Raw genomic sequence first — 27,324 nt, 5'->3', positions numbered from 1 at the left:
CATGGATGAACTCTGAAGACATGCTAAGTGAAATAATCCAGTCACAAAAGATCAAATACTGTATGATTCCACCCATATGAGGTACTAAGAGTAGTCAAATTCATAGAGATAGATAGGTTGCCAGGGGCTGGAGGGAAGGGGAAATGGGGAGTTCATGTTTGATGGGTACAGAGTTTCAGTTTTGGAAGATGAAAAAAGTTCTGGAGATGGACGGTGACAATGGTTGCACGATATGTGAATGTACTTAATGCCATTGAACTGCATATTAAAAATGATGAAAATGGTAAATTTTATGTTTATTTTACCACAATTAAAAAAGAGAGAGATGCCGATAGTCTCGGTCTCTCAAAATAAAACCCTAAGAACTTAAAAAGTATGCTTCAGCTATTTATACTGCATTTAGTTCCACTTTAGGTATCCCTACTTGAAAATTCTAGGGGATAATTTTTTAAAAATCTAGACAAGTGCATTAAGGAAAAAGAAACCACGTTTTTAATGGTGTGCTAATGTCACATTCACTTACTTAGGAATATGATTTTTTTTGTTATTGCCAAGACAGCAACAGTTGCTCTGGAAACCACACAAAAACAGGGATACTTAAGTGAAACAAACTCCACTCACCTGCACAAAGACGCCCTTGCTCCTATACTCCTCATGGAGGCACTGAGAGAAGAAATCTACAAAAGTCTGGGAGGGGAGTGGGAGTGAGAAGAAAACACACACATTACATCAATCTGCCTGATTTGTAGCCATGGAAACAAAATAATAAACTAATCATTTAATGCTATAATTTCTCATCATTTTTTTCATTTCAAACGCAGAAGAGAACTTAGAAAAACACCTGAAAACCTCAAGCTGTTTTTATCTGCCACTAAATGAAGTATTATATTACCAAATATAATATCCAGATCAAATTTTGATTTAACTGGAAAAGGCTTTTCTTATCTTTTTCTCCCCTCAGAAAATTACTTTCCAAGAAAAAATATTTTTCTCTTATATAACAAAAGACTCATTTCATCTCTCCACTTGCCACTCAAATAGAAACACAAGATGAAGTCCATTCAACTCTGTTCTATGGGGATTTTGTTGTTGCTAAAAAGAACAGAACAAGCATCCTCTTGGTGCTTTGGGATGACAAGATCCAAGAAGTATAGAGGTGAATGTGACAGCCCATCTTCTTCTGATAATACAACCTTAAATCTATTTGTAAAATACAATGTGCCATTTTTCAAATGTGGACGCAACCTCAGACTAGAAATGCAAAGAATCAAGTGACTTTTCAAGGGTCCTAATTAGTCATAGTTTTGTAGCCATGGAGTAGAACAGATAAGTTGAAGTTCACGAATCCCTTCAAGAAACATGGCATTCATTTTAAATTTGCCTACAGTATGTTCCCAGATACAGAAAGTAGATTGTAGGGGCTGGGAGGTGGTACCAAGCTTTTCAAAAGACAGTGGTGACTGTTTTTTCACATGAAAAAGAAGTCGGAGTTTTGCTCTTTTCCTTCCCTGAAATGTTTCAAGTTCTTACTGTACATATTTTTGTTTATTTTTCCCTAAAAGCCTGCTTAATTTCAACATCTAAGTGATCATTTTCCCTTCAGAGATGTATTCAATGCCTCAACAATGTATCTGAAGATGACGCCATTGACCTGCAGGCAGTAGGAGACTCATTCTAAATTACTTTCCTATCAGTAATGTGAAGAGGTTAATGGTGATATTGTATGAAATTATGACATTGTCCAGAGAGTTCTGGAAAATTCTTGTCTCACCCCAAAAGTGACAAAGAATATCTATGAATCCTGGACAACATGGCAAAATACACTCTCGCCCAGTCTATCTTGTGCCTGCTATGTACATTTACACATTGACTAGATGCATTTCTTCTATGCTGTGTGAAGTGGACTCATTCATGTATCAAATCTCCAATCTTAGACTCATTAACATCATGTTCTAATTAACTAAGCTATCTGCCTAGGTCACCTGTCTATGGAAGGCACAAGTATCACTTTCAAAATCAGTAGAGTGCTGGGGGGAGAAAAACAGCATCTGTGAATCTGATATCCTGGTGTCCCATTTGTAAGTTTACATTAAGTTTATTGTAAGTATATAGTATGTCTCCAACTCTGGTTCTTTTGAAACTCAAGTAGGGTATTTTCCTTTTCTTCTCAGTCTACTGGAAAACTGCCAAGAACAGAACTTCAGGAAAGTTAAATCTACGTTAATTTCTCAGACTAAAAATTACCCCTTATTACTATATTGACATGATTTAAGAAAATATTTTTTACCTTGGTTGCAGAATAGATGGTCAAGAGTGGGACAGGGAGCATGCCACTGCCAGATGAAATGTTCAGAATAGCCCCTTTGGATCTAAAAAGGAAAATGTACCGTGTAAAAGGAGTGAAGCCACAGTATGCAGTTGTTTGTGAATTACAGATTGAGATATATAATTATTCGAAACAGAATAATGTAGCTGTTTTTCTACCACATATCTCTCCCTGCCTTTCATCAGTATGTGCTATGCTTGGTCAGTAAATGAGACATAATTCAATCAACTAAAAATAGCTCTTCTTCACGATTAGCTCATTTCCCAGTCTTAGTAACCCAGGGCATAACCAGATCAGATCTCCAGTCTCCTCGAGTTGATCTCTACCCTCTGAGGTCTTCTCTAGCCACAGTGCTGAGAATTTTTACTTACAGATCTTTTATATTCCCTGCATACACCTTTATTTTAACATATCGTCACATACTACTTTACTGTAGGATTTAATCATTCTATGTATATAAACATTCTCTCCTCCCCCCAACAAAACCATAAGCTTCTGGATATAATAGCCCACTTTCCCTCAAAATATTCCACACGGTACTGAGCACATAACCAACAGGTACTTAATAAAACTTTCTGGCAATGAGTGAATGGCTATGTCCTTTCCTTGGGTTGTAGATTCTACTTCTACTGTCTACTTCTACTTTCCCTGGGTTGTAGATACTTGGGCACCAACAAAGAGTTGACTCTAAAATTATGTGACTCTAGTTCATCAAACTGTGTCTTTTGCCAAAAGGCAAAGCTCAACTGTTACTGTAACTTTTAGAGACTACTGAAAGTTTAAAATCAAAGTTACCAGGAATTTCTAATTCTACAAAAAAGTGAAAATTAGCTTGAGAAAAGCAATGCTATAAAGATACCAGTTGTTAAAAAGTATGTATAGGTTAGGTAAAGTGTAGAATTATGGTTTAGGAGTGTCACAGCTACCATATCTTCCCCTCAAATCCATTCTTCTCAGAGGATTCCCCTTTTTCAGCCACTGCAACCTGATCCCACCCACCTCCTATCTCCCATACTAGGTTCCTTTCCTTAACCCACTTTCTCATTGTTCTTTGTCTGAATTTACTTCCCAACACCTATTTTTTTAGCTTAAAAAAGGGACTATAAAGACCCCCTTTATGCAAAATAATAAAGGATACATGATTAAATGGCATTTAAGTTATTTTAGGCATAAATCTGAAATGAAATAATCCCCAAAAGTCACCCGCTCCATCTGCCAGCCTCTAGGTGAGATGCCACTTCAACCATCAAAGGGAAGTGGGAGTCCTCAGCTTAGTCTGTGTCACTGGAAAGAAGTTGTTGTTGTTGTTTAACAGAAGTCCTTATTAGTATTATGTGCCTTCCTAAACTGTGAAACCCATTAAGATTTTGATGATAAAAATTACATTTCAAATTTAAAAATATTAGGAGGGTTTTGAATAAAGTTGGAAATAAGTAGTCAATGGGTTAATTATATCATTCTGGTATTTTTTGTCTGTGTCTTCCTCAGAAGCAGAAAAGTCTTTTCTTTTTAAATTTTAAGGTAAGAATTTGTATCAGGAGTTAGAACCCAACAATTCGAACATAAAAACTGGTAAATTAGCAATGAATATCTAGTCCTTTCATTTTATCTATATTTCTGAGAAATTCCTTTGATGAAAATAGAAAAACCACTTTTGTTACAGGAGATTTTTAATTTAGTATTAATTTGTAATATTTAAAATATCTTTATCTTTTTTGGGGTATTGATAATGTTCAAAAATTAGACTGTGGTGATAGTTGCACAGCTCTGTGAATACCCTAAAAACCATTAAAGTGTATACTTTAATGGGTAGATTGTTCAGTATGTGAAATTTATCTCAACAAATCTATGAAAAGAGAGAGAAAAATATTTATGACATATTGGAATGTATCACCTTTAAACTGGGAGCAGATCCCAATCAAGTGAAAACTAAGAGAGCTATTGTATCGTATGCAACACAATATGCTTTCTAAGAAGTAACCCTCAATCTTGACAAGTCAACCCTTCTCCTGCATCCTAAGCATCCTTGTAGGTATGGGTAGTGTTTTATTTTAACCTTTTCTCACATAACTGGGAACAGCTATGTCCAAACTCATTCACAGCAAGTGAAGACACAACTAGTTTGAAGTAGATGCAGAAAAATGAGGCTTTCCACTGAAGCTGCAGCCTATCACTGCTTGGCCTAACAGCTGGATTAAATGCTCCATTATACTCAAGTTAGCTGGGGTTGTTATATGTGCCCTTGAACAGAAACCTTACATTTTAAATTTCATTTCTCGCTAACAAAATGCAATTTAAAAATCTGTAAAAGGTAAAATTTAACATTATCAAGTGCACTTTAAAAATTAAATCTTGACCTGATCAAAACAGACCCTTAAAACTTCACTCACCAAAGCAATGATCTAAGTACAGGAAAAGTCATTTAAAGATAATAAAAGTTCCTTTCCCATATTAAAATACAATACAGATCAATTATCCAATGTCACATTCATGCAGTCATCCTCCCTTACTTGTTTGCTCCTTAAGGCAACTAAGATTTTGTTTCTCAAGTATTCTAATCCTATTGAAAACTTCTAGGAGGTGGAGTTGCTTTGAATTAGTGAAAAGTCAGAGTTTGAGGGTACTTCATACAAAATACAGTATTTGCATGCTAAAACACATGAAAACAAATCTAAGACTAATAAATGATAAAGCAAGAATGCACTCGACCTAAGTAAATAAAAGAGTAGCATTTAAAATTGTACCAAAGTGACAGTAGAGAAAATAGCCCTTCTACAAATCTCTGTCCTACCATTAAGCTCACATATTTGTCTAACAAAAACCTTCCTCCCACACCCACACACACAACAGTGTAAAACTCTCTCGCTCTTTCTTTCCAAAGGCAATAATATTCAACTTAGTTCTGTCTGAATCACAGCTAATATACTGGTGTAGCCTGCCTCAATCTTTGTACTGTATACAGTATCTGTTCTCTATGTAGAAACGGGGCTGAGCATTTGGGACTGCAAGGCACAAAAGACTCGCCCTTTAAATCAACCGTGTTGTCTAGCTCTAATCCTCCATCTAAGCAGAATTAGTGACGTCAAACCAGTTTCCATGGCACAGCCAGACTCATGACAACTCTGTTATATCAAGCAGAAGGACAAAATGGGCTGCGCTTAATTGCACACAGAAACAAACATGAAACTAAACCCTGGTTAATCTCTCATTTTCTGGGGACTCGGGAACAATTCTAAGATTGGAAGGTACATTAAGAATTTTTGCTGAAGTTCTATAATGAAGACTCATGTTGCTCATACTTCAGCGCATTTTCTAGTTTGTTATGACAAATATCCAAATAAACAAGTCAAGCAATGTTTTCTGTAATGCAACATTCTTAATTCATTATACTGCTTACTTGCTAACAGCCACACAATGCTGTCTCAGTGGTACAAATTACTGAGGATCTACTAGAACTAAAATGTTGCGAAAAAACCCAAAGCAGAAAACACCAATTGCTGACAGGAAAGTACCTTTTCATATAAACATATTCTCTTTAATTACTAGTCCTCCCACAAGCCAGACATTAAATTCGCCCAACTCTATAAAACTCAGTCCCTCACACTTACAGCTTCCTATAGATATGCTCTCTCATGGAATTCCCTCAGACCTGTGAAATTCCCAATAAGACTCCCTTAATTGTCACCTGGATTAAAAAAAAATTGCCAAGCCTTTATTTTATAAGTGCTTTAATATTCTATCAGACTGTTGTGGTATCCTTGTCCACACCTCTATAAAAATTCTACTGTCATAGAGGACGTAATAGGTCTCCTTTGAAGTAAGTCACTGTTTTCTACCTTCCTTAGAAACCTCATCACTGTCCCACAGTGCAGGTGGGAAGAGAGACCTGCTGCTATGAGGAACCGGAACTGCAGGGTTAATCCTAGTGGGGACTGCTAACTGCATACAGAATTTGATTGTAGCCAAGGAAGAATGTACAAAAAAAAAAAAATTCCATCCCAATTCTTCACATTTCCACTTCATATCAAGGAGTACAAAAGCAGGCTCTTGAGGGGGAGGGTTGTCATTATATATATATATTAAAGCTTAAATATAATACTGAAATTGGCACAGACAGTTCTGTAACAGATGCTCACGAAGACTGAGAAACCTATAAAAATAGAGATCTATGTCAAAAAGAATCTTAGAACATAGGGGTCAGGTGTATAATTAGAACCAGCAATCCAAATACTTACATTGTACAAATATTGCTTTGTGGAAGAAAGTTTGCAAACATTCAGCACATGAAAGAGAATTACTTGCCCTAAAACACCATAACATGTCATAATTCCACCTTAAGCAATACAGTTATGAAAGGGGCTATTTTTAGCTTTCCCATGGTTGTTATGGCAACCACCTCCTGGCTCCAGCTGTACACAATGTTTATAATTCCAGGGAAGTGAAAAGAGCAACTTTCCTCTATAATGTAATTATGTACTTTCTACATCTATGGTAACAATACCTTAGTTTGATTATAGGTATTTGTTTAGCGATAGTCAGTTGGCCCTAGGCTATAGTTCTAGAGGGTTTGGAAAATCTCCCACATCAGAGGTGGAAGCAGTGGAAGGAAAACAACAACAAAGGATCATGATAAAGGACTCTGCTGTTACTCAATGGAGATACTAATGCTATGGAAACCAGCCATAGGAAATAAGCCATTTGGGGATGGTGTAAAGAGCAGGCTATAATGAAACCACTTATAATATGTAAGGTAAGAATGCTTTCAATATGATCTGCTAACTTGGAATTTTTCTCTCCTCTTTGGGCATACAGCTAATATTTCTGGCCTTCTGTGCAGTAGTTGTAGCCTGTGACTGAGTTCTGCACAATGAAATGTGGGCAGAAGTGAAACTTCCCTTAAAACCATCTTTACTCTCTTGTCTTTCATCTGTCAGCTGGATGCAGAGAACTCCAAGACCCTAGAAAATGATGACGCCCCTAGATGGAAGGAGCCTCAGATCCTGAATGACGGGTAGAGAGGGGAGGGAAAAGTAAACCTTTATGTGTTAAGCCACTGAGATTTGGGAGTGGCATGTTTCAGCAGGTAGCTTACCTTGACTGACACATCTAGTAACTAAGTTCTTTAATTCAAGTAGACATAGACGTTCCTTTTCCTAACCAAAAGTATTGATTCATAACATCCACATATATTTCTCACTAGCTCTTAAGACGTATCAAAATGGTAATGTGGTGTCAGGTTCAGTCATAGCTTCTGAAAACTTCCCACCATTTCTCAACCTCAGTTTAAAATCAACTTGATCTTTCCTTTTTTTTTTTTTTTTTTTTTTGAGACAGGGTCTCGCTCTGTTGCCCAGGCTGGAGTGCAGTGGCACTATCTTGGCTCACTGCGACCAATGCCTCCCAGGGTTCAAGTGATTCTTGTGCCTAAGCCACCTGAGTAGCTGGGATTATAGCTGTGTGCCACCACGCCCAGCTAATGTTTTTGTACTTTTAGTAGAGATGAGGTCTTGCCATGTTGACCAGGCTGGTCTTGAATTCCTGGCCTCAAGTGATTCACCCACCTCAGCCTCCCAAAGTGCTGGGATTATAGGCGTGAACCACTGCGCCCAGCTTCAACTTGATTTCTTAAAAGGCAAGGATCCAACTCATCCTTGAGACGCTTGACTAAATGAATGCCTATTGAATGGATGGACTCTCCTTTTTTGCATTGCCTTTATGTAATGCTCCAGCTGTGATCATGGCTGTCAGGTCTACAGAGATAGCAGTGAAGTTCCCAGCTTCTTGGTTTTGTATTATTTACTAACTGTATAGCTTCATAGCACTCCATCTCTTTGGGCCTCTATTTTTTCATCTGTCAAAGGAGGGAAGTTACTGTCAATTAATTTAATGCACTGGATTTCTGTGACTCTTTGACTCTAAGACTTTATGCTGTAAAATGATTTTGCAACCATTATCTCTTTTGATATGGTTTTCATCAACATAATTAAAAATTCCTTTTACAATACCTCTGTGGTTTATAAGTGTTTCTTTTTTAATGGATAGATTTACTATTCTGAACCAATACCATGTTACCTGCAGATGTCAAAACTAGGATTAAGGTGATGGCCCAAATTTAATCCCTCCTGGGTTCTACTTTGCCCCAACTCTACCATCTTCTAGGGTTCTGGTCTGGTCTAACCACTGCCATTTATATATCTGACCATCAGGGGTCCACTCCCACTGGCACCTAACAATAGGCAGTTTGAAGATTTTAAAGGGAAGTGTTACTAAAATAAAACAATTAAAATACACAAAATAGTGTATATAAAATGGGATTACAAGGAGCTTTGCTGAGAAACTGTTTCTTAACTAGTCCCTGTAGATGCTCAACAAATGGATTCCTAACCTCAGTTTCCTCATCTGTACAATGGTGGGAGGCTATCAAAGTTAAATGAGTTAACACTTACTAAGTTCCTGGCACTTACTATATACTCAATAAACATAAGCTGTAATCCCTGCCTGGAGTAGGTCATAGAGGTTTCCTAACAGAAGTAGGGTCCTTGGGTCTTCCCTTTTCAAAGCTGTGATTCCTCTGGGTCTCTTCCAAACTCATAGTTATTTTGCAGAAAAAAAGATGACTACGATGCCCTAAATTCAGCAAATGATCGAGCTAGCTCAGGATGCAAGCCCAAATCTTTTTAGCAGCTTTTCTTTGAAGGCCTAGACATCATTCAGATTTTTCCAAGGAAGAAACAGCTTAATTACAATTCTACACTTCATGCTATTTCAGATAACAGAAATCTACAACATATTTCTCAATCAAAATGAAGACATTCGGCATGTACTAGCAGAACCAATTCAAACTGGAACAAAGATGGGGCGAGTGGACATTGCCTTTTCCTCCAAGGGTTGGTTTGACATCTTATAATCACTTTATATAACAGCCATTCTCCCAGTAAAAAGTGAAAAACCAGAGGAAGAGGTCTTGCTTCATCCAACTCCACTGATTTTGGCTTTGAGAGAATACAGCTTTAAGAAGGTATTCCCGGGAATATCCCAGGAACTCTATCCGCCCCCTCAGAATAGTAGGCAATTGAGTTAGTGATGGTGACTCAGGCAGGCTTTTTCATCCTGATCTAAAGGAACCACTACAACCCTAGAGAGAGAAATAAAAAGGGAATCGAGTGGAAAAGGCCTCCACCACCGATGACTCATGCTCTACTGTGACTCGCCTGGTACATCACTCTGTGGCTAAGACATGGAGGCTTGGTTCATTAGTCACTTCAGTGATTTTTTCAAAGCAAGGATTCTCCCTCTAAATAATCATGAGCTCTGCTTCCACAGTGTTTGTATGTGAGCTTGTGACTCACCTTTCCACCATGCCAGGCAGTACCAATTGTGTCATCTGCAAGAGAGAAAGCAAAACATTCATGATGGCCAAGGATGCAGGCAACAGAAAAAGAGTGAAGAAAACTCACCCACACTAAAAAGAAGGGAATCATGAAACCATTCACCACTTCTACAGACAGCAGGTTATTTTCTGTACACTGTAGAATGTGACTGTGTCAAGAGGGCATAAAAAGGAACCAGCTGAAATTACTGGAGAGAACACAGGGAATACTTTAATGAACCTGGCTAAAATTAGTCTTGCCTGAAATGTAATACTGGCACAGAGTTCTTCAAACAATGAAGGATTTACAGTGAAAATCTACATTTCCCAAAATGCATTCTCAGAAAAGAATATATGTTATCAGAAGAAATATCCTGCCTACCAAGATGACTTAAGCTTTCTAACCTCAAGAGCTCACATAAACTTTTCCAGCCAAAAAAAGTCTTTAAAAGAATACGATAAAGTGGTAGGTTGGCAAAGAGTAAGTGTAACTTCACATTCATTTCTCTTGTTGGTCTAGTTAGCTGTAAGTAAAACTCATCCTTAAAGAGAGTTAAGATGTGATCTCTAGTAACCAACATGAAAAGGTGACATCTGCATTTTTTAAGGACTCCATAATTGTTGACTAAATACATATAATGAGAGGGGCTATTTTTAAACTCTGTTTTGATATATTATTAACCAAGAAAAGTTCAGAAGTCCAATGGTTTAGTCAAAATCACCTCACAGTTAAATACCGAGGCTGTAACGTGAATTTCTGACTCCTGGATATCATCAATTCTCTAAGAAACAGATGCTGTTTTGTAATAATAAGGTTTCAATGCATGCTAAGCATAGAAATTTTGTTGTTTCTATCTTGAATAATACTTCATATTAATTAAAGTAGACAGCATTCTGATGAGAAGGGAATTTTGTTTTCCTAGAAATATTCTGAAGAAATAAAATGCCAGCCAGATTTAACAAGGTAAATTCTGCTATGTGAACATCCAATCCAGATGTATTATGAACAGCTTTGTATGGTAGTACAGATGTACATCAGGCATATTAACAGTGGTGGGTATTTTATTGTAAAGGATAGATTATACAAAACCCTAACAGTATTTGAAAACTTTTTTTTTTTTATTTAGCACATTTCATCAGGGACCATAATGCTTAGCTAAAGTATTATAAAGAGTTCCCCCAGCATTTTGTGAAGGGAAGCTATAATTCAGTTCTCCAAAGTTCTGAGATCACCAGAAACAGAATAAGGAAGGAGACTGGTAATAAAAATGTCTTTACCCAGGTGTATGTGTGTCTGTGTGTGTGCGTGCGCATTTGTATTAAGGAAATGAGATCTGTTAACTATAAAGCAGCTAAGTGGAGTCCAGAAGGGGTAGCCACTGCCTGTTTGGCTCTCTTAAACAGTCCCTCTTCTATTTCCAGTTGGAATATTGGGGGCAGGGAGATGGGGGAATATCAGGAGCTATTTTTTCCCTTATACCATATGCATGTCATGTATATATTAAATGTCTGCTTTCTGAATGGCAAAAATTATCTAGAAAATCATGAGACAAAACAAAACCCCATAACATAAAACCATACTTACAAAATTATATCATGGCATGCTAAACATTAAATGTTTCCTTCATCAAGAGGCCTTTTATGTAGGGACATGTTCAAAATATATTCTTTATATATATGAATTAAAACTCAAGAAGTTTTAATAACTTGACATAAACACTGATTTCAATGCCTGGCTATTAAAGGCCAGAAATATTTGCTGAATGCTCAACGACTAGAGGATTCATCAGCAAAGACACAAGTTCTCCCCTGCAAAAGTTAATTTCTTTCTCATAGCTCATGAGCTCCTCCTTTTACATTCTGACTCTAAATTCTCTGTCCTTGTCATAAAATGTAACATCTTTTTTTAATCTGTCAAATAATAACAATGAAAAGCCTGAGAAAACTTAACCTGAAATCTGCATGCTTTTATCAAATTGATTAATGCCTTCATCTATAATGAAATTATCTTTCCTTCTAATCAGATTATAAGTCACAATAAATTGAATTTCAAGCCTTCTTTATATGAGTATGTATATACAAATCGTTAATATTCTACGCATTAGTTAAGAGGCTTCGTTATATTCAGATCAAATTAAATTTTCTTTAACACCAAATTTTTATAGGATTTTTAGCTAAGTTATTAGTAGAGTTATCTGTAAGCATCAGCTGGTATCTTGATATTTGGTTATTTATATGAATATACCAGGCATTTCTGTGAATTGTCACTATCTATCTGAACTCCATTTCACAGCTCACAGGCTGTTTCTGGAGTTAACTCAATGCTAATATTAGGCCATCTGCAGGTGATAATTGCTGCACCAGAAAAATTTTTGTTCCTCTTAACACACTTCTAAAAAAAGGTTACCATAACTTGCAAGTTCAGTGGTTAAGAATATTAGACAAGTAGTAGTAAACATGATTTCCAGACCCATTTTCTTCCCCATTGGGACTGTTTCCAAAAGTGTATAGCGAACAATTTTAATTCTTTCCTAAGAAGTAGACAAAAGTGGCCGGGCGCGGTGGCTCACGCCTGTAATCCCAGCACTTTGGGAGGCCGAGGCGGCGGATCACGAGGTCAGGAGATCGAGACCATCCCGGCTAAAACGGTGAAACCTCGTCTCTACTAAAAATACAAAAAATTAGCCGGGCGTAGTGGCGGGCGCCTGTAGTCCCAGCTACTTGGGAGGCTGAGGCAGGAGAATGGCGTGAACCCGGGAGGCAGAGCTTGCAGTGAGCCGAGATCCCGCCACTGCACTCCAGCCTGGGCGACAGAGCGAGACTCCGTCTCAAAAAAAAAAAAAAAAAAAGAAGTAGACAAAAGTTTCTACAATTGTGCTTCTACAACAGTGAGAGTGTGAAATCCTTGTCCTTGCAGGGAAAGTGTTTCCTCTTTATATACATATATATTTTCAGTGACAGTATCATTAATCCTCACCACAAGAAAATCCTAGATGCCTAGAATCTAAAGGGGATAGTTTAATATATATGTTATATCACACTTAAGGTATTGTTATCACTTTATATGCAAGCTAGCCAAAAAGTATACAAATATATGAGGAAAAATGAATGTCTTGATGACAGCTAAATTTAGAATTTGATTCAATGTCAAGAGTAAAATATTTACTAGTATTTACTGGTATAGCAATGTATATTCTGGCTGGGAAATAAATAAGAGGCTTATTTCGCTTATACAAAATCAAAATCAGTACTATTAGATTAAGATTATTTAGATGATTAGATTATTCAGCAAAAATGCATTGGCTGGCCTAGAAAATCCTTGAAAATGTTATATTAAAATGTAACCATCTGCAGTTACGACTAAAAGTGACTTAATTTCTTCTTAGTGTTTGTATATATTTCTCATACTTTTGGCAACAATCTTGCATTGTTTTTACAATTAGAAAAGCCTCCACAATCTTATTTCTAAAAGAAACCTAATATGAATAAAACTTTTTCTGTTTTACTCCTGTAGCGTCAGTAATCAACAGTTTGTAGAAGGAACTTTATTTTATACCCAGGAGCCAATGTAGATTTTCCCACTCATTAATTTAGTATGAAAAATGATACAATATAAGCAAATTATTCTCATATCATGTAATCTTTGGCATTTGGTCATTTTTTAGAGAGAACAGTACAAAGAAAACATGATTGCATAATGTTCAAAAAGACAATCAAAAGCTCAAATTAAAAGATTACATTAAAATTCAAGATGCTTTAATCACCTGTATTATCATAATACACATGGAGAGAATAAAGTATAACAACTCACCCTAGAATCCAGGCAAAGCCCCTGGAATCCAGGATATTCATACCCAGAATTAGGATACCACAAATAGCCACTTTGTCCACATCTGCCCTCCCTCTACCCCAAAGAAACCTGCTTACCATAAATAGGATCTGAATCCAAGTAACTAAAAACGTACCCACACAATTTGGAAGTAAACAATTTCTTAGATGCAAATACCTTAAACAAGTTTTCAACTGTAATCATTAACAATAATTTTTCAAAATCACAGTGTAACAGTGAAAATAATTACAGAAAGTGACAACAGTGTTACACAATGCCTGGTTTGGAGAAATTAGATGGTAACTCCATTGAAAATCATGCTACAATGACACAGCACACATTTCCTTTGGCAAACTGTGTAATTTGAGCACCGCGGTAAAAAAGAACACAACTTAATTAGAAATTCTTAGAATCTCACCTGTATAGCTAATAGAATATTTATTGCACAGTGGGTGGAAAGCTTAATTAGACAAAGTTTCTAAGAGTGCTTTGAGATCTCCAAGTATTATTTGATTTCCCTTTTTATTAATGTTAAGTTTTTGTGAAAGTTAAGAGCCCTGCCTTGCCATTTTCCCAGCTCCATATTACTTAACCTTAAATTCAATCCTATATCATTCAAAATAAAATTTTTCCTTTTGTAATAAATTTGGTTTGATCTACATTAATTTATCAAAAGAAAAAGAACTTTTCAGAACAAAGAGCTCCATGCCAATTAATAATGATTCCAAAGCCATAATTCATAAACTCTAAACAAAATTTTAAAAAAGAATGCATATACCAGCCGGGCACAGTGGCTCATGCCTGTAATCCCAGCTCTTTGGGAGGTCGAGGCGGGCAGATCACGAGGTCAGGAGATCGAGACCATCCTGGCTAACACGGTGAAACTCCGTCTCTACTAAAAATACAAAAAAATTAGCCGGGCGTGGTGGTGGGCGCCTGTAGTTCCAGCTACTCGGGAGGCTGAGGCAGGAGAATGGCGTGAACCCGGGAGGCGGAGCTTGCAGTGAGCGGAGATCACGCCACTGCACTCCAGCCTTGGCGACAGAGTGAGACTCCGTCTCAAAAAAAAAAAAAAAAAAAGAAAAAAAAAGACTGCATATACAATCATACACAGTTTTTATAAGTTTCACATACTATAGTATGCTAAGAGTTTCCAATACCTAAATTTTTCCAAAATAAGCTAACTTCTCAAAAGTGACAGGTTTGGGGAGGAGAAAATAATTTCTAAAGTTGTCAGAGATTTTTCATTTTCACTCGTATATAAGGCATTTATCCTATAACCTAGCTTCATTTGGAGGTGAAAAGCAACATCAGTACCAATCTATAACTACTCTCTCATTTTTGGAAGAAGAAAACAATGCAGAGTGGTTATCATGCCGTTTGGCAAAACCATCATTTTGTAGTTATGCCTGAAGCAGGCCATTACTATGACACTCTAAGGACTAAATGTATCCAATAATTTGGAATTTTTTAGGAGCATAATGATAACTAATTTCAAAATGAATTAAAAGACTAGCTATTAACTTGGAATGCCTTCATCTAGAAAAGCCATGGATGGGGATTAGTGGTGAGGGTTTTACTCTCCTTCCCATAATTTATCATATTCCTAATGTTGTTAAATTCTTGAAGCAGGGTGCCCGGATGCATTCTTAACATAATTCCTAAATTAAATACAATTAGACTGCTGAACGGAGACTGTTCTCATGGATTTTCAAATTAATAGAGGGCTCCCCCTACTGGCATTGTGTCACATGCCAGAGGCAAATCCAGGTGAGAAAAACAAATGTTTCCGTGCTTTTCACCCATCTGTCCATTCATCTAAACTTTTATCATCTACTCCATGGGCAGGGCATCGCATAAGACACTTCTGGCTAAGTGACATACAATGAATACACTGTGGTATAAAAAGGAAAAAATAGATTTTCAAAAAGCATGCAAAGGGTCTCATACTCTGATTTCAGAGAATCATGGGGTGGAAGATGCCATAGTCTAAATGTTTGTGTCCCTCCACTCCAAATTTTTTTTTTTTTTGAGACAGGGTCTCACTCTGCCAGCCAGGCTGGAGTCCAGTGGCACGATCTTGGCCCACTGCAACCTCTGCCTCCTGGGTTCAAGCAATCCTCCTGCCTCAGCCTCCTGAGCAGCTGGGACCACAGGTGTGAGCCACCATGCCTGGCTAATTTTTTTATTTTTGATAGAGATGGGGTCTCGCCATGTTGGCCAGGCTGGTCTCAAACTCCTGGGTTCAAGTGATCCTCCTGCCTCAGCCTCCTGAGTAGCTGGGATTACAGGCACGTGCCACCATGCCCAGCTAATTTTTGTATTTTTGGTAGAGATGGGGTTTCACTATGTTGGCCAGGCTGGTCTTGAACTCCTGGGCTCAAGTGATCCACCCATCTCAGCCTCCCAAAATGCTGGGATTACAGGCGTGAGCCGCTGCGCCCAACCTCCACCCCTCCAAAACTTGTATGTTCAAACCTAATCCCCAATATGGTGACATTAAGAGGAGGGTGGGGCCTTTGAGAAATGATTACATCATGAGGGTTCCACCCTCACACGTGGTATTGGTGCCCTTATAAAAGAGGCCTGAGGGAGCTTGTTTGCCTCTTCTGCCACATGAGGACATGGCAAGAAGGCTCCATCTATGAAGAATGGGGTCCTCACTCGACACCAAATCTGGTGGGGCACTGATCTTAGACTTCCCAGCCTCCAGAACTCTGAGAAATAAGTTTATGCTCTTTATAAACTACCCAATCTAAGGTATTTTGTTAGAGCAGCCCAGAGGGACTAAGACAGAAGAGATTAATTTAGTCGATGTCATTCTAGTCCTTCAATTTCTCCAAGCAGTTATTCTGTTTGAGTACATTGAACACTTGGAGTCACCTGGAACAGAAGAACCCAAACTCAAGTGCCTGAAAGGTCAGAGAGGTAATGTAAATGAGTGAGAGAAGTCAAACAATAGGGACTGGTGGGGACTGTGGCAATCTAGAGAGCTGCAGGCCTAACTTACTGCATATATCCGGAAGCTACTCAGCTCTAGTCACTTGCTGCCATGTAGTAATTCAGGTCTGTGTTACCCAATTTTCAGATTTTTCCCAAGAGAAGTTAGAAATCTCGGTGTAAAATTTCCTAACTTTGAAAACTGAGCCAATCAAAATGTGTTCGTCAGCCACCTCTGGCCCACAGACCAACAGTTTACAACCTCTGACCCAGGATACTCACCTTCCGCCTCTTCCACTTCTGGCAGATTCAAAGATTAGGACATTCTCACAATTTACTTCAGTATAAATAGCGATTGATTCAAGTTCAACCTTCTAGGGCCACACACAATCAGTGTGACCCTTATTCCCAAAGAACTTGAACTAAAATTTCAGTTCAGTTTTTTCAGTTCAGAATTTTCTGTTTTTAAAAAATCATTCATTTATTATTATTTCTTAGAATAAAAAAAAAATGTGTTGTGCACCTTACGTATGCGAGGCCCAGGTAGGATTCAGCAGGAAAGGAAAAGGACATGATACCAACCCTCATGGTGCTTACAATCTGTAGAGAGGCTCTAAACTGAAAGAGAGACTCAATCTAAGAAAAACTCTAGTCCAGACATGGTGACTCACACTGGTAATCCCAGCACTTCGGGAAGCTGAGGCAGGAGGATCGCTTGAGGCCAGGAATTCCAGTCCAGCCTGAGCAACATAGCAACACTCCATCTCTATAAAAAATTTAAAAATTAGCTAGGCATGGTGGTGCATGCCTGTAGTCCTAACTACTCAGGAGGCTAAGGCAGGAGGATCGCTTGAGCCCAGTAGTTTGACGTTACAGTGAGCTATGATAGTGTCACTGCACTCCATCCTGGGTGACAGAGTGATACCCTGTCTCAAAAAAAGAAAAACACACACAAAAGAAAGAAAGAAAGAGTCTAAAAATGAAATGCTCAGTGAAGGGAAGACATGCAGTGGGCGCATGACACTCTGGAGGGTTCAGAAAGGTGCCCTACCCACACCCACCCTTAATAAGAAATGGTTTCAAGCCCCCACCTTGGTTGAATGTCTGATGAAGGAAGAACTAAATTATAAGCCCCTGCTTTAAGTCTTATACTGACCCCCCCAAAAAAAGTAAAAAATTAAATTAATATAAAAATATTAAATTTCAAATTGACTTAAAAAGAGTAAAAAGAAATTAATATATAATCCCCTGCTTGAGATGCTCTTCCACACGGTTGGTGGGACTGTAAACTAGTTCAACCATTGTGGAAGTCAGTGTGGCGATTTCCCAGAGATCTAGAACTACAAATACCATTTGACCCAGCCATCTCATTACTGGGTATGTACCCAAAGGAGTATAAATCATGCTGCTATAAAGACACATGCACACGTATGTTTATTGTGGCACTATTCACAATAGCAAAGACTTGGAACCAACCCAAATGTCCAACAATGATAGACTGGATTAAGAAAATGTGGCACATATACGCCATGGAATACTATGCAGCCATAAAAAGGATGAGTTCATGTCCTGTGTAGGGACATGGATGAAGGTGGAAACCATCATTCTCAGCAAACTATCGCAAGGCCAAAAAACCAAACACCGCATGTTCTCACTCACAGGTGGGAATTGAACAATGACAACACTTGGACACAGGAAGGGGAACATCACACCCCAGGGCCTGTTGTGGGGTGGGGAAAGTGGGGAGGGATAGCATTAGGAGATATACCTAATGTAAATGACGAGTTAATGGGTGCAGCACACCAACATGGCACATGTATACATATGTAACAAACCTGCAAGTTGTGCACATGTACCCTAAAACTTTAAGTATAATAAAAAAATATTAAATCTCAAGTTGACTTAAAAAAGTAAAAAGAAATTACTATATAACCCCCTGCTTGAGATGCTCTTCCCCATTCCCAAATAAAGCAAACAACAAAACAGAACAGTATTTTGCAATATGTGGAGGCTGTTAATATATTTCACTTTGGGCCGCACACCCATCCATTTCCTTCTCTGCTCTAAGAAAAAGGTAATAAAGAAGGTAAGAACATCCTGTCTACTTGTCAGAATGGTGGCCTGGACATTTCCTAAGAGATTCAGCTGTAGGCAGGGCCATTGTCTAGCTTCCACCTCATTCACTAAGTGCAGCAGCAGTTTTAGGATTCAGTATCACCTGAAGGAATGGTTTTCCCACCTTTCCATAGGCACCACAGGCAGTTCAGGTAATACTGTTTGGGCAGTGCTTATCTGGAAAGGAGTGAAGAGTCTAGGGTCTCTTGAAGTCTGAAAATTGCGAATAAAAAAGAATAATCTGGCCCAGAAAAGCAAGGCAACCCCAAATTTGGTAGCTGTTAAAACAGGTGCTCTCAAATCAGAAACAAACGGCACAGCAATATTTGTTTTAGAATCTGTCTTTGGACTGATGTGAACCTCAGTGTACACCCTGTTTGAAATGAAACCTACATTTGTCTGCCTCTGGAGACGCGGCACTTCTCCCATTCTCCATGATTTCTCTAATAGCAATCAATAGCAGTTCAATAATTTCATTTGCAAACTCTCTCAGTATTCTGGGATGGAAATCCCTCCAGGTATAAAACTAGAACTATTTTTAGAAAAGTGTGGTTCAATGTCTTGAGGTTCAATTGTCTCTAAACTCCACTGTTTCTGGGATAAAGGTCATTGTTCTTGATGAGAAATAAGATGTATCTTAGATTTTAGTCACAGAGCATCTGCAATCAGAAGAAAGCTCTGTCTGGTAGGACTTCTCTTACAGTTTGAGACTGATCTACCTGCCATATTGGTTACCTACATATAGAGTTTCTATATCACTTAACTGTATGCAGGCAGGGAACAGGAGCAAGACTAAATTTATTCCTGAAGGATTTAAGAGTAAAACTGGAAAAGCAGGCAACAAGGCTTTGAAACATCCCTTGTAAAGGGAGAGCCCATTGAAGTGAGCCACTGAGAGGGAAGAAAGGAATAAACTCAAAATGCTGGATAAGATTAAAAAGTAAAACCATCGGATGAAACTGGAGAACTAAGTGGCCTGGAAGAACTGCTTATGATTAAACATCATGGGTCTATAGCCAAAACTTTCTGATTAATATTTCTTCCCCAATATTTTTCTGGCCACATCACTACCATTTTATCTGGTGGTGACCTACAATTTCTTTGGTCTCAGGATATTTCACTTCTGTCATTCCTCTATTGAAACACGGAACTTATGTGATTTTTACAATCATCTGACCTACTGATCCAGAACATAAATAGGTGGATCTGAAGGAATGTAAAGCCAGGTCATTCAGTGTTCATGGCACAGTACAGGCCTTACAATAAGATGCTGGGGTCCTTCTCAGCAAACATCTCCAAAGTAGGGGGCACAAGCCCAAAGTCACAAGGCCAAGCTGATTTCACCAATCTCTCCTGGAACACTTCTCAGCCAGTTATTCCCTGTCATGTAGTTTAGTGAGGAGATAAAACTTGGCCCAACATTGATGGTGAGAAGAGGTTGCTCTCTTCCTTATACAGGCCTTTTCTGAGAAATTCATTGTGGCATTAGGCTGCAGACATCCATGCCCCAGTTCCCCTGATGTCCAGCCACAATAAAACCTTTGGAGATTCTGTAGCTGCACCAATTTTCATCTTCTTTTAAGTTACCCCAGGGCTCCAAACAGCCATTGCTACTGAAAATGTGGCCCTGGCCCTGGCAACGTAACACAGTCAACTAAAGAACAATAGGTGCAATTCATCCAAATATATTATAGGGCAAATCACAGCAGCACCAAAGAGTCCTAAACCTGGGAGCGTCACACAAATTTCGTCAAGGTGAATGCCTTTCTCTCAGTATAAGTAAGAAAAACACATGCATCATAAAATACCTATTACCGTGTCACTCTGCCAATAGAACTGCCTTTCTAAAACATAGGTCAGATCACACCTTACATCTACTTGAAGGCTTTCTGTAGCTCTCTAGCCTGTTGAGCACAGCACTCAAGGTCTTGCCCAGTCATGCCCTAACTTCCTCTTCTTACCTGCTGGTTAGCCACTGCACATCACTCACCTCCCACTGCTCCCGTCAAGCCATTTTCTATCTGAATGGTCACTAGTCAACTGTGATCAGAAGCAATGTTAACTACATTGCTTCTGCATGTAGTACAACAAAAACTAATTGGCTAAGCCTCCAGATGGTATTAATTCCATGATCCATTGATTCCACATGTTGAGAGTTTTGATTTGTTTTTCTATTAGAAGTACACATCACAAAGGTACAGGAAAATTCAGATTCATATTAAAGATAAATGAAGGGATGCTTATTTGGCTCCATGAAGAAGTGCTTTAAATAGCAAACTCCCTTAGTGCTTTTTAAATGGGATTAGGTTTGCAAAAGAAAGCTTATGTATAAAAATTGTAAGTAGATATCCAGTTCTGCCAATGACACTTACCATCAATATGGCATGCAAGTGTTTAATAAATTAGCATTTGTCTCCACTAACTCATTTCATGGGAACAAGTATATATGCCAATGTCAATGAAGAATGAAGAAGAGGAAGGATGAAGAGGTGGGAGAAGCATTTTATAATTTGTCAAGATATTAAAAATGATATCTCATTTTTATTTCATCATTATATTTAAAACACTGAAAGTTACTTCATGGTGCTCTTCGATTTGTGCTGTTTTATCCATACTTTCCCCTATTTGGTCTTTAAGCAGAGACTCACCGTAATGACCACTGAATATGCTGATCTGTGCTCAGATCCTGCATGAAGGATAAAGTCTGTGACCATGAAGCACAGCAGGATGACTGATTCTCACAGATTAAGGCCAGGACCTTGGCTTTCTATCATTAGTTTTCTGCAGACTGTGAGCCAAGGGATGGCATGTTCATGGAGACAGAAGAGGCCAGGGTTTTACACCATAAGAGTATACAAACATGTAAGTGTAGACAAGCAGGAGGTTATAAGAGAAAATACTAATGGATCTAAAGTAAATGGCTTACACAGTTTATCTGACAGAGGAGTTAAAATTATCAGAAGACTAATCTGAAATTAGTATTAACAATTCTAGAAAATAAAATTAAAACAAACATATTTTATCATTAACTCAGCACAAGATATTATGAAACACATGTACATTGTTTTTAACACTTATTATTTTCAAGCACTTGGCCAAATGTACCAGAAAAGATATATCAAAATAATAGTACACGTTGGTCATTTCAAAAGGCAAAAATTATAAAATATATACGTTGTAGACTAAAAGTGATATTTTTGATCAAAAACCTTTGCTTGCTAAAAAATAAAGTCATAGTTCCACATATTATTAAAATCTGTATCAGCTCTGAGTTTAAGAACAACAATAACATTTTGAGAGCCCTTATAATGATCTTGGGACTATTAGATATATTCCTATTAGCCATGTTTTAAATGCATCAATTTTGTGCATGAGAGTCTTGCTCCAGACTCACTCACAGGTCCACTTATAATTAGTTTACCTCACTTAAACTGAATCTTATATGAGAAAAAAACTTGGCTAATAACAACAAAGTTAAACATTGAGTTAAACATGCTTTGAATTTCCTTAAACTAGTATATATGAGTTACTGAAAATGGATTTGGCTTTCTATGAGTATGTTCAAATTTCAAGTATCTGACACTGCCCATGAGAATTCTGCCTCAGGCAATTATTTTTCACTGCTCTGGTATGTATAATCAAAGTACAGTATATTTTTGTAGTTACTAATACAATATAAGAAAAAATGGTGTTGAGATGCTCATACTTGCTAAGTATTCCTCCTTTTGGCAGGTATTGGCTTGTTGTCTTTTGTTGGCACATACATGTGACATGACTATAACACATGCTTAGCAACTAGCAACCAGACTAGTTATTATGAGTAACTATTAAAAATCACACCCATTGCTTTATACTTCCATATTCCCCGTACAATGCTTATCACAACATTTAAGTTCCTCAACTGAAAAGAATCATGGGGAAGACAAAATGGAAACAATTTATCAGTGACAAATAGCGTGTGGATGAAATCTTTGTAAAAATAAGTCTCCAGCCTAAGTTTTTGTAGTCCCAGTAGCTACCACAGTGCTTGCATATAGAAGGCACTTAATAAACAAAAAGCATTTAATAAACTAAAAAACACTGCTGAAAGGAATCATAGATGACATAAACAAATGGAAATACATCCCATGATCATGGATGGGTAGAATCAATATTGTGAAAATGACCATACTGCCAAAAGCAATCTACAAATTCAATGCAATTCCCATCAAAATACCACCGCCATTCTTCACAGAACTAGAAAAAACAATCCTAAAATTCATATGGAACCAAAAGAAAGTCCACATAGCCAAAAAAAAAGACTAAGCAAAAAGGACAAATCTGGAGGCATCACAGTACCTGATTTCAAACTACACTATAACGCCATAGTCACCAAACAGCATGGGACTGGTATAAAAATAGGCACGTAGACCAACTGAACAGAACAGAGAACCCAGAAATAAAGCCAAACACAGCCCACTGATCTTCAATAAAACAAACAAAAACATAAAGTGGAGAAAGGACACCCTATTCAACAAATGGTGCTGGGATAATTGGCAAGCCACATGTAGCAGAATGAAACTGGATCCCCATCTATCACCTTATACAAAAATCAACTCAAGATGGATCAAGGACTTAAATTTAGGACCTGAAACTATAAAAATTCTAAAAGATATCATTGGAAAAACCCTTCTAAACATTGGCTTAGGCAAGGATTTCATGACCAAGAACCCAAAAGCGAATGCAATAAAAACAAAGATAAATAGCTAGGACTCATTCATTAAACTAAAGAACTTCTGCACGGCTAAAGGAACATCAGCAGAGTAAACAGACAACCCACAGAGTGGGAGAAAATCTTCACAATCTATGCATCTGACAAAGGACTAATATCCAGAATCTACAATGAACTCAAACAAATTAGCAAGAAAAAAGCAAATAATCCCATGAAAAAGTGGACTAAGGACATGAATAGACAATTCTCAAAAGACAATATGCAAATGGCCAACAAACATATGAAAAAATGTTCAGCATCACTAATGATCAGGGAAATGCAAACCAAAACCACGAGATATATATATATATATATAGATATAGATATAGATATAGATATAGATATAGATATAGATATAGATATAGATATAGATATATATGATGGAATACTACTCAGTCATAAAAAGGAATTAATTAATGGCATTTGTAGCAACCTGGATGAGACTGGAGACTATTATTCTAAGTGACGTAACTCAGGAATGGAAAACCAACATCCTGTGTTCTCACTTATAAGTGGGAACTAAGCTACGAGGATGCAAAGGCATAAGAATGATACAATGGACTTCGGGGACTCAGGAAAAGGGTGGAAGAGGGTAAGGGATAAAAGACTACAAATTGTGTGCAGAGTATACTGCTTGAGTGATGGGTGCACCAAAATCTCACAAATCACAACTAAAGAACTTACTCATGTAACCAAACACCACCTGTTCCCCAATAACCTATGGAAATAAAAAATTAAATAATTAAATAAAATAAAAATAAATGAAAAGTCAAATAATACAGGCACCTGCTTGGTCTTCAGTTCTTTATGTTTTCTGAAGAAATAAGTTAATAGACCACTTGTATCTGGAATACATGTATCTGCATCTAAACAAGAGTAGACTCAGGTGAACAAGCTGATTATGTCAGTGTTTTTGAATAGAAGGAACCAAAAAAGGATGACATCTTTATAACAAGGATGCTTACCTTACAAACAGAAAGAATATTAATATTTATCATTTTCTTGATCACCTGCAAAAAAATATTGAGAATTTTATATACACTTGATCATGAAAGTGACCCTATTAGATATCTACTTAGGTAATCTAGAGAAGCATTGAACATTTCCCCAGATATTGCAGAGATTTTGGAAAAATGACAAGAGTTGGGGTAGAGAGGCAGATTTCATTTTACTCTCCGTGTTATATTTTCCTAACTAAGGTGATAATTGATGCTAACATGCAGAATCCAAAGTGTATGTGCAAGTAAAATCTGGAAGTAAAAAGACACATTAAATCTAAAATAAATAGAACACTTTGCAATTTCCTTTCTGCTAGTATGGAGCATAGAAATTACTGAACCTAGGATTTTCAATAATTTTTAAAATTTTACATAGTCCTTCAATGATATGCTTTTCTCGTTTTCAGTAAAGGATTATGCATGCATCAAGGATGTCACTTTCATTTTGGTAGAGCTGGTTTACCTGAATCAACCACGTTGCTGTATATTAACATACTTACAATTTTTAAGTTGATGTTTAGAATCATAAAACTTACAACAGAGCTATTTTGATATAACACAAACAAAAATAAGAGTAATAACAAAACTAGAGCTATTATTGAATCTGGCACTGTATAAGTGAGGTTATAAATATTTTCTCATTCTATCTTTCTAATACCCCTATGAAGCTGCCCATTTTATGAGCAAGGAAACTGAGACTAAGTATGGCTAGGCCCATACCCAGGGAACTCAGGTAGTAAACAGAAGAGCCAGCGTGTGAACCACAGGCAGCTGGACTCCAGTGTCATAGTGTGAATCATTATACCAATACCTGCATGCATTATTTTTGTTACCATAATACACAAAGAAAGACTTACATTGTCCAAGTCAGGAACATCCAAAAAGTATTCAGGATACTCATACGACATTCCCACGTTGTTCACTGAAATAGAACAAGATGATTAGCTGAGTAACATATGCATATTTTAAAGATTTGTTAAAATAATGACATTAAAGATATCAAGACTAATATGATATATATAATTATATAAAATGCTGTTTATGGCTAGCATAACCTTTTCCACACCTTTCTGTCCAAAATCTATCCTTAAAAGTCCAACTTAAATGTCTCTTCCTTCATTAAACCTTCCTGTACCTACCATCCAGCAACTGACAGAACTTATACTTGCCTCTCACTTTCCATAGCCCTTTGGGATATGTATATTCTGCCTCTATCATACTGTTATTTGGAGATATTACTTAACTCTTCTCCAGACCTTAAATTTTCATAGTGCAGTAGAAAGAGTGGAGAGTACCGTGGTCCAGGATACTGAAAACTTGAGTTCTAGTTATAACAGTTTTCAGAAAACATGTGATTTGGGATAAGTCATGTACAATATGCATCGCATTTTGTTCCGCTCCAGAATGAGAGCTCATTTAATAACTCAAAAAATATGTGCCATACACTTTTGAGTAAGACATGTGCTAGGAACTTTAAAAAGTGGGGAAAAAATGTTGGTATCACGGAGCATACAATCTAGTAGGAAAAGAAAGAAACAAACAATTATTTCATGACAGAACAGAGTGCCATGGGAGCCTTTCCTGCAGAGCCTGACTTCAACTGGAAAGTGAGGGAAGGCTTCTTTCTGGTGGCCAAGGGAGTGGGTCAGACTAAATGTCTCCAATAAACCATCTATCAAAAGTTGAGGTCATATCTTAATTTTCCTTATACCACACCCCCTTACCTTCCCAATCACCTAACTTAAAGTTGGGGCTACAAGACAATTGACAAGATATGAATAAACCTATATATATTTAGATATAAGATTTTAATACTCAAATATCCTATGGTTTTCCCCAGCCCTGGAAAGACAAAGACAATCCCAGAACAAAGAACATTTGCAGGAATCAATCAATGAATAAAATATCTTAGAATTTATTTTAACTAAATAAATAACTCATGAGATAGATGATCTATCTATCTGCCTATCTACACTTAATCATCACAACAACCCTATTAGGTAGTTCCTATTATTATTTTCCTCTTACATATTAGGAAACTGAAGTTCACAGCAGTTAAAAAAATTGCCCGGTGATAGAGCAAAGTATGCCGGGATTCAAACTCGTGAAATTTGACTTCAGAGACTAGGCTTTTAACCACTATGTTAAAACCTTCACACACCTTTATCCAGTATTCAACTCAGAAAAAAAAAAATCATAATAACTGAATAATAAACAAACATCTCATAACAATGTTTAATAAAATTATGAAGTATTTAAAAAAGAGAAGTTTCAGTTGCAAGAAGATGATGACATTATGATCAGTCTGCTACAGCTTATAAGGAATTATGCCATATAAACCTGATATTAGTAATAATAACTTTTCAATAGTCTAACAAAATTAATAGTTCAAAGGAACTCAGTAAGGGTTTTATATTTAATTATAAGCCAATCACTTGAGGCTGTAAGTTGCAAGATTTTACAACAATACCACTGAAACCTGTCAGAAGAAATGTAAGCAAAAGACAATGACAAAGCAAACTTTATTTAATTAGGATTCATACTCATCTGAATAGGGATAGTATCTAAACATAATTAATAACAGCAGGTCCAGATCCATTTTTATTTTATTCAATAGGTTCTCCACCCACCAGGCATCCCAAGAGTCAATTCTATAAAAGATCTGTAAACAATTAGGCCAAAACTAGTTGAAGGTAAGGCTTTATGTTCACTTGACTTTGCTTTAACCACCTACAGAATTACAAAGGATGAATAATTTAGAATATGACTAAAAGAAACAGCAAAACCCAAAATATCTGTTAAAATATTGCACATAAACAAAATATTCTTTATATCAGTTTAAGATAACAGAATCTTCCAGGAAAGGCTTTGCCAAGTTGTAATATTCATCAGAATTAAAAAAAATTTCATGAAGTACAGTGAACTATCTCCCTTCACTCTTCATATCAAGAAAACTTTCTTCAGATTTCCCTCTAGCCTATGGGAATATTAATGCTA

At 37.2% G+C, this 27,324-nt stretch overlaps 1 protein-coding gene and 1 long non-coding RNA gene across 8 annotated transcripts in view, besides 1 other annotated feature; one reads left to right on the top strand and one right to left on the bottom strand.

Moving 5' to 3' along the window:
- The window catches only part of HSD17B12 (hydroxysteroid 17-beta dehydrogenase 12), a 299,895-nt gene that overhangs the window by 15,930 nt on the left and 256,641 nt on the right, over positions 1–27,324 (bottom strand). For all 7 annotated transcript variants that reach the window (XM_024448573.2, XM_047427074.1, XM_024448571.2 and 4 more), the window contains 5 exons: positions 25,185–25,249; positions 24,295–24,339; positions 9,676–9,710; positions 2,288–2,369; positions 622–687 (listed from right to left, as the gene is read on the bottom strand). In XM_024448573.2, coding sequence (XP_024304341.1) covers positions 622–687; positions 2,288–2,369; positions 9,676–9,710; positions 24,295–24,339; positions 25,185–25,249 — 293 coding nt within the window. The remainder of the gene's footprint in view (positions 1–621; positions 688–2,287; positions 2,370–9,675; positions 9,711–24,294; positions 24,340–25,184; positions 25,250–27,324) is intronic.
- Positions 6,738–11,753, top strand: LOC107984328 (uncharacterized). Its single transcript, XR_001748197.3, has 2 exons — positions 6,738–7,076; positions 9,096–11,753. It is a non-coding gene; the product is annotated as an uncharacterized LOC107984328 (long non-coding RNA).
- Positions 9,026–10,225: an enhancer, noted in NCBI's record as "P300/CBP strongly-dependent group 1 enhancer chr11:43852011-43853210 (GRCh37/hg19 assembly coordinates)". NCBI's record gives its function as "activates an origin of replication core promoter dependent on BRD2, BRD4, P300/CBP, MED14 and CDK7 cofactors, with strong dependence on P300/CBP, by STARR-seq in HCT116 cells {active_cell/tissue: HCT116}" and the evidence as "EXISTENCE:reporter gene assay evidence [ECO:0000049][PMID:35650434]".

The sequence above is a fragment of the Homo sapiens genome, chromosome 11 (genome assembly GCF_000001405.40).
Source record: "Homo sapiens chromosome 11, GRCh38.p14 Primary Assembly".
In the NCBI taxonomy this organism is placed as follows: domain Eukaryota; kingdom Metazoa; phylum Chordata; class Mammalia; order Primates; family Hominidae; genus Homo; species Homo sapiens.
The sequence above is the reverse complement of the archived record's forward strand: the minus strand, read 5'-3'. Positions and strand labels throughout refer to the sequence as shown.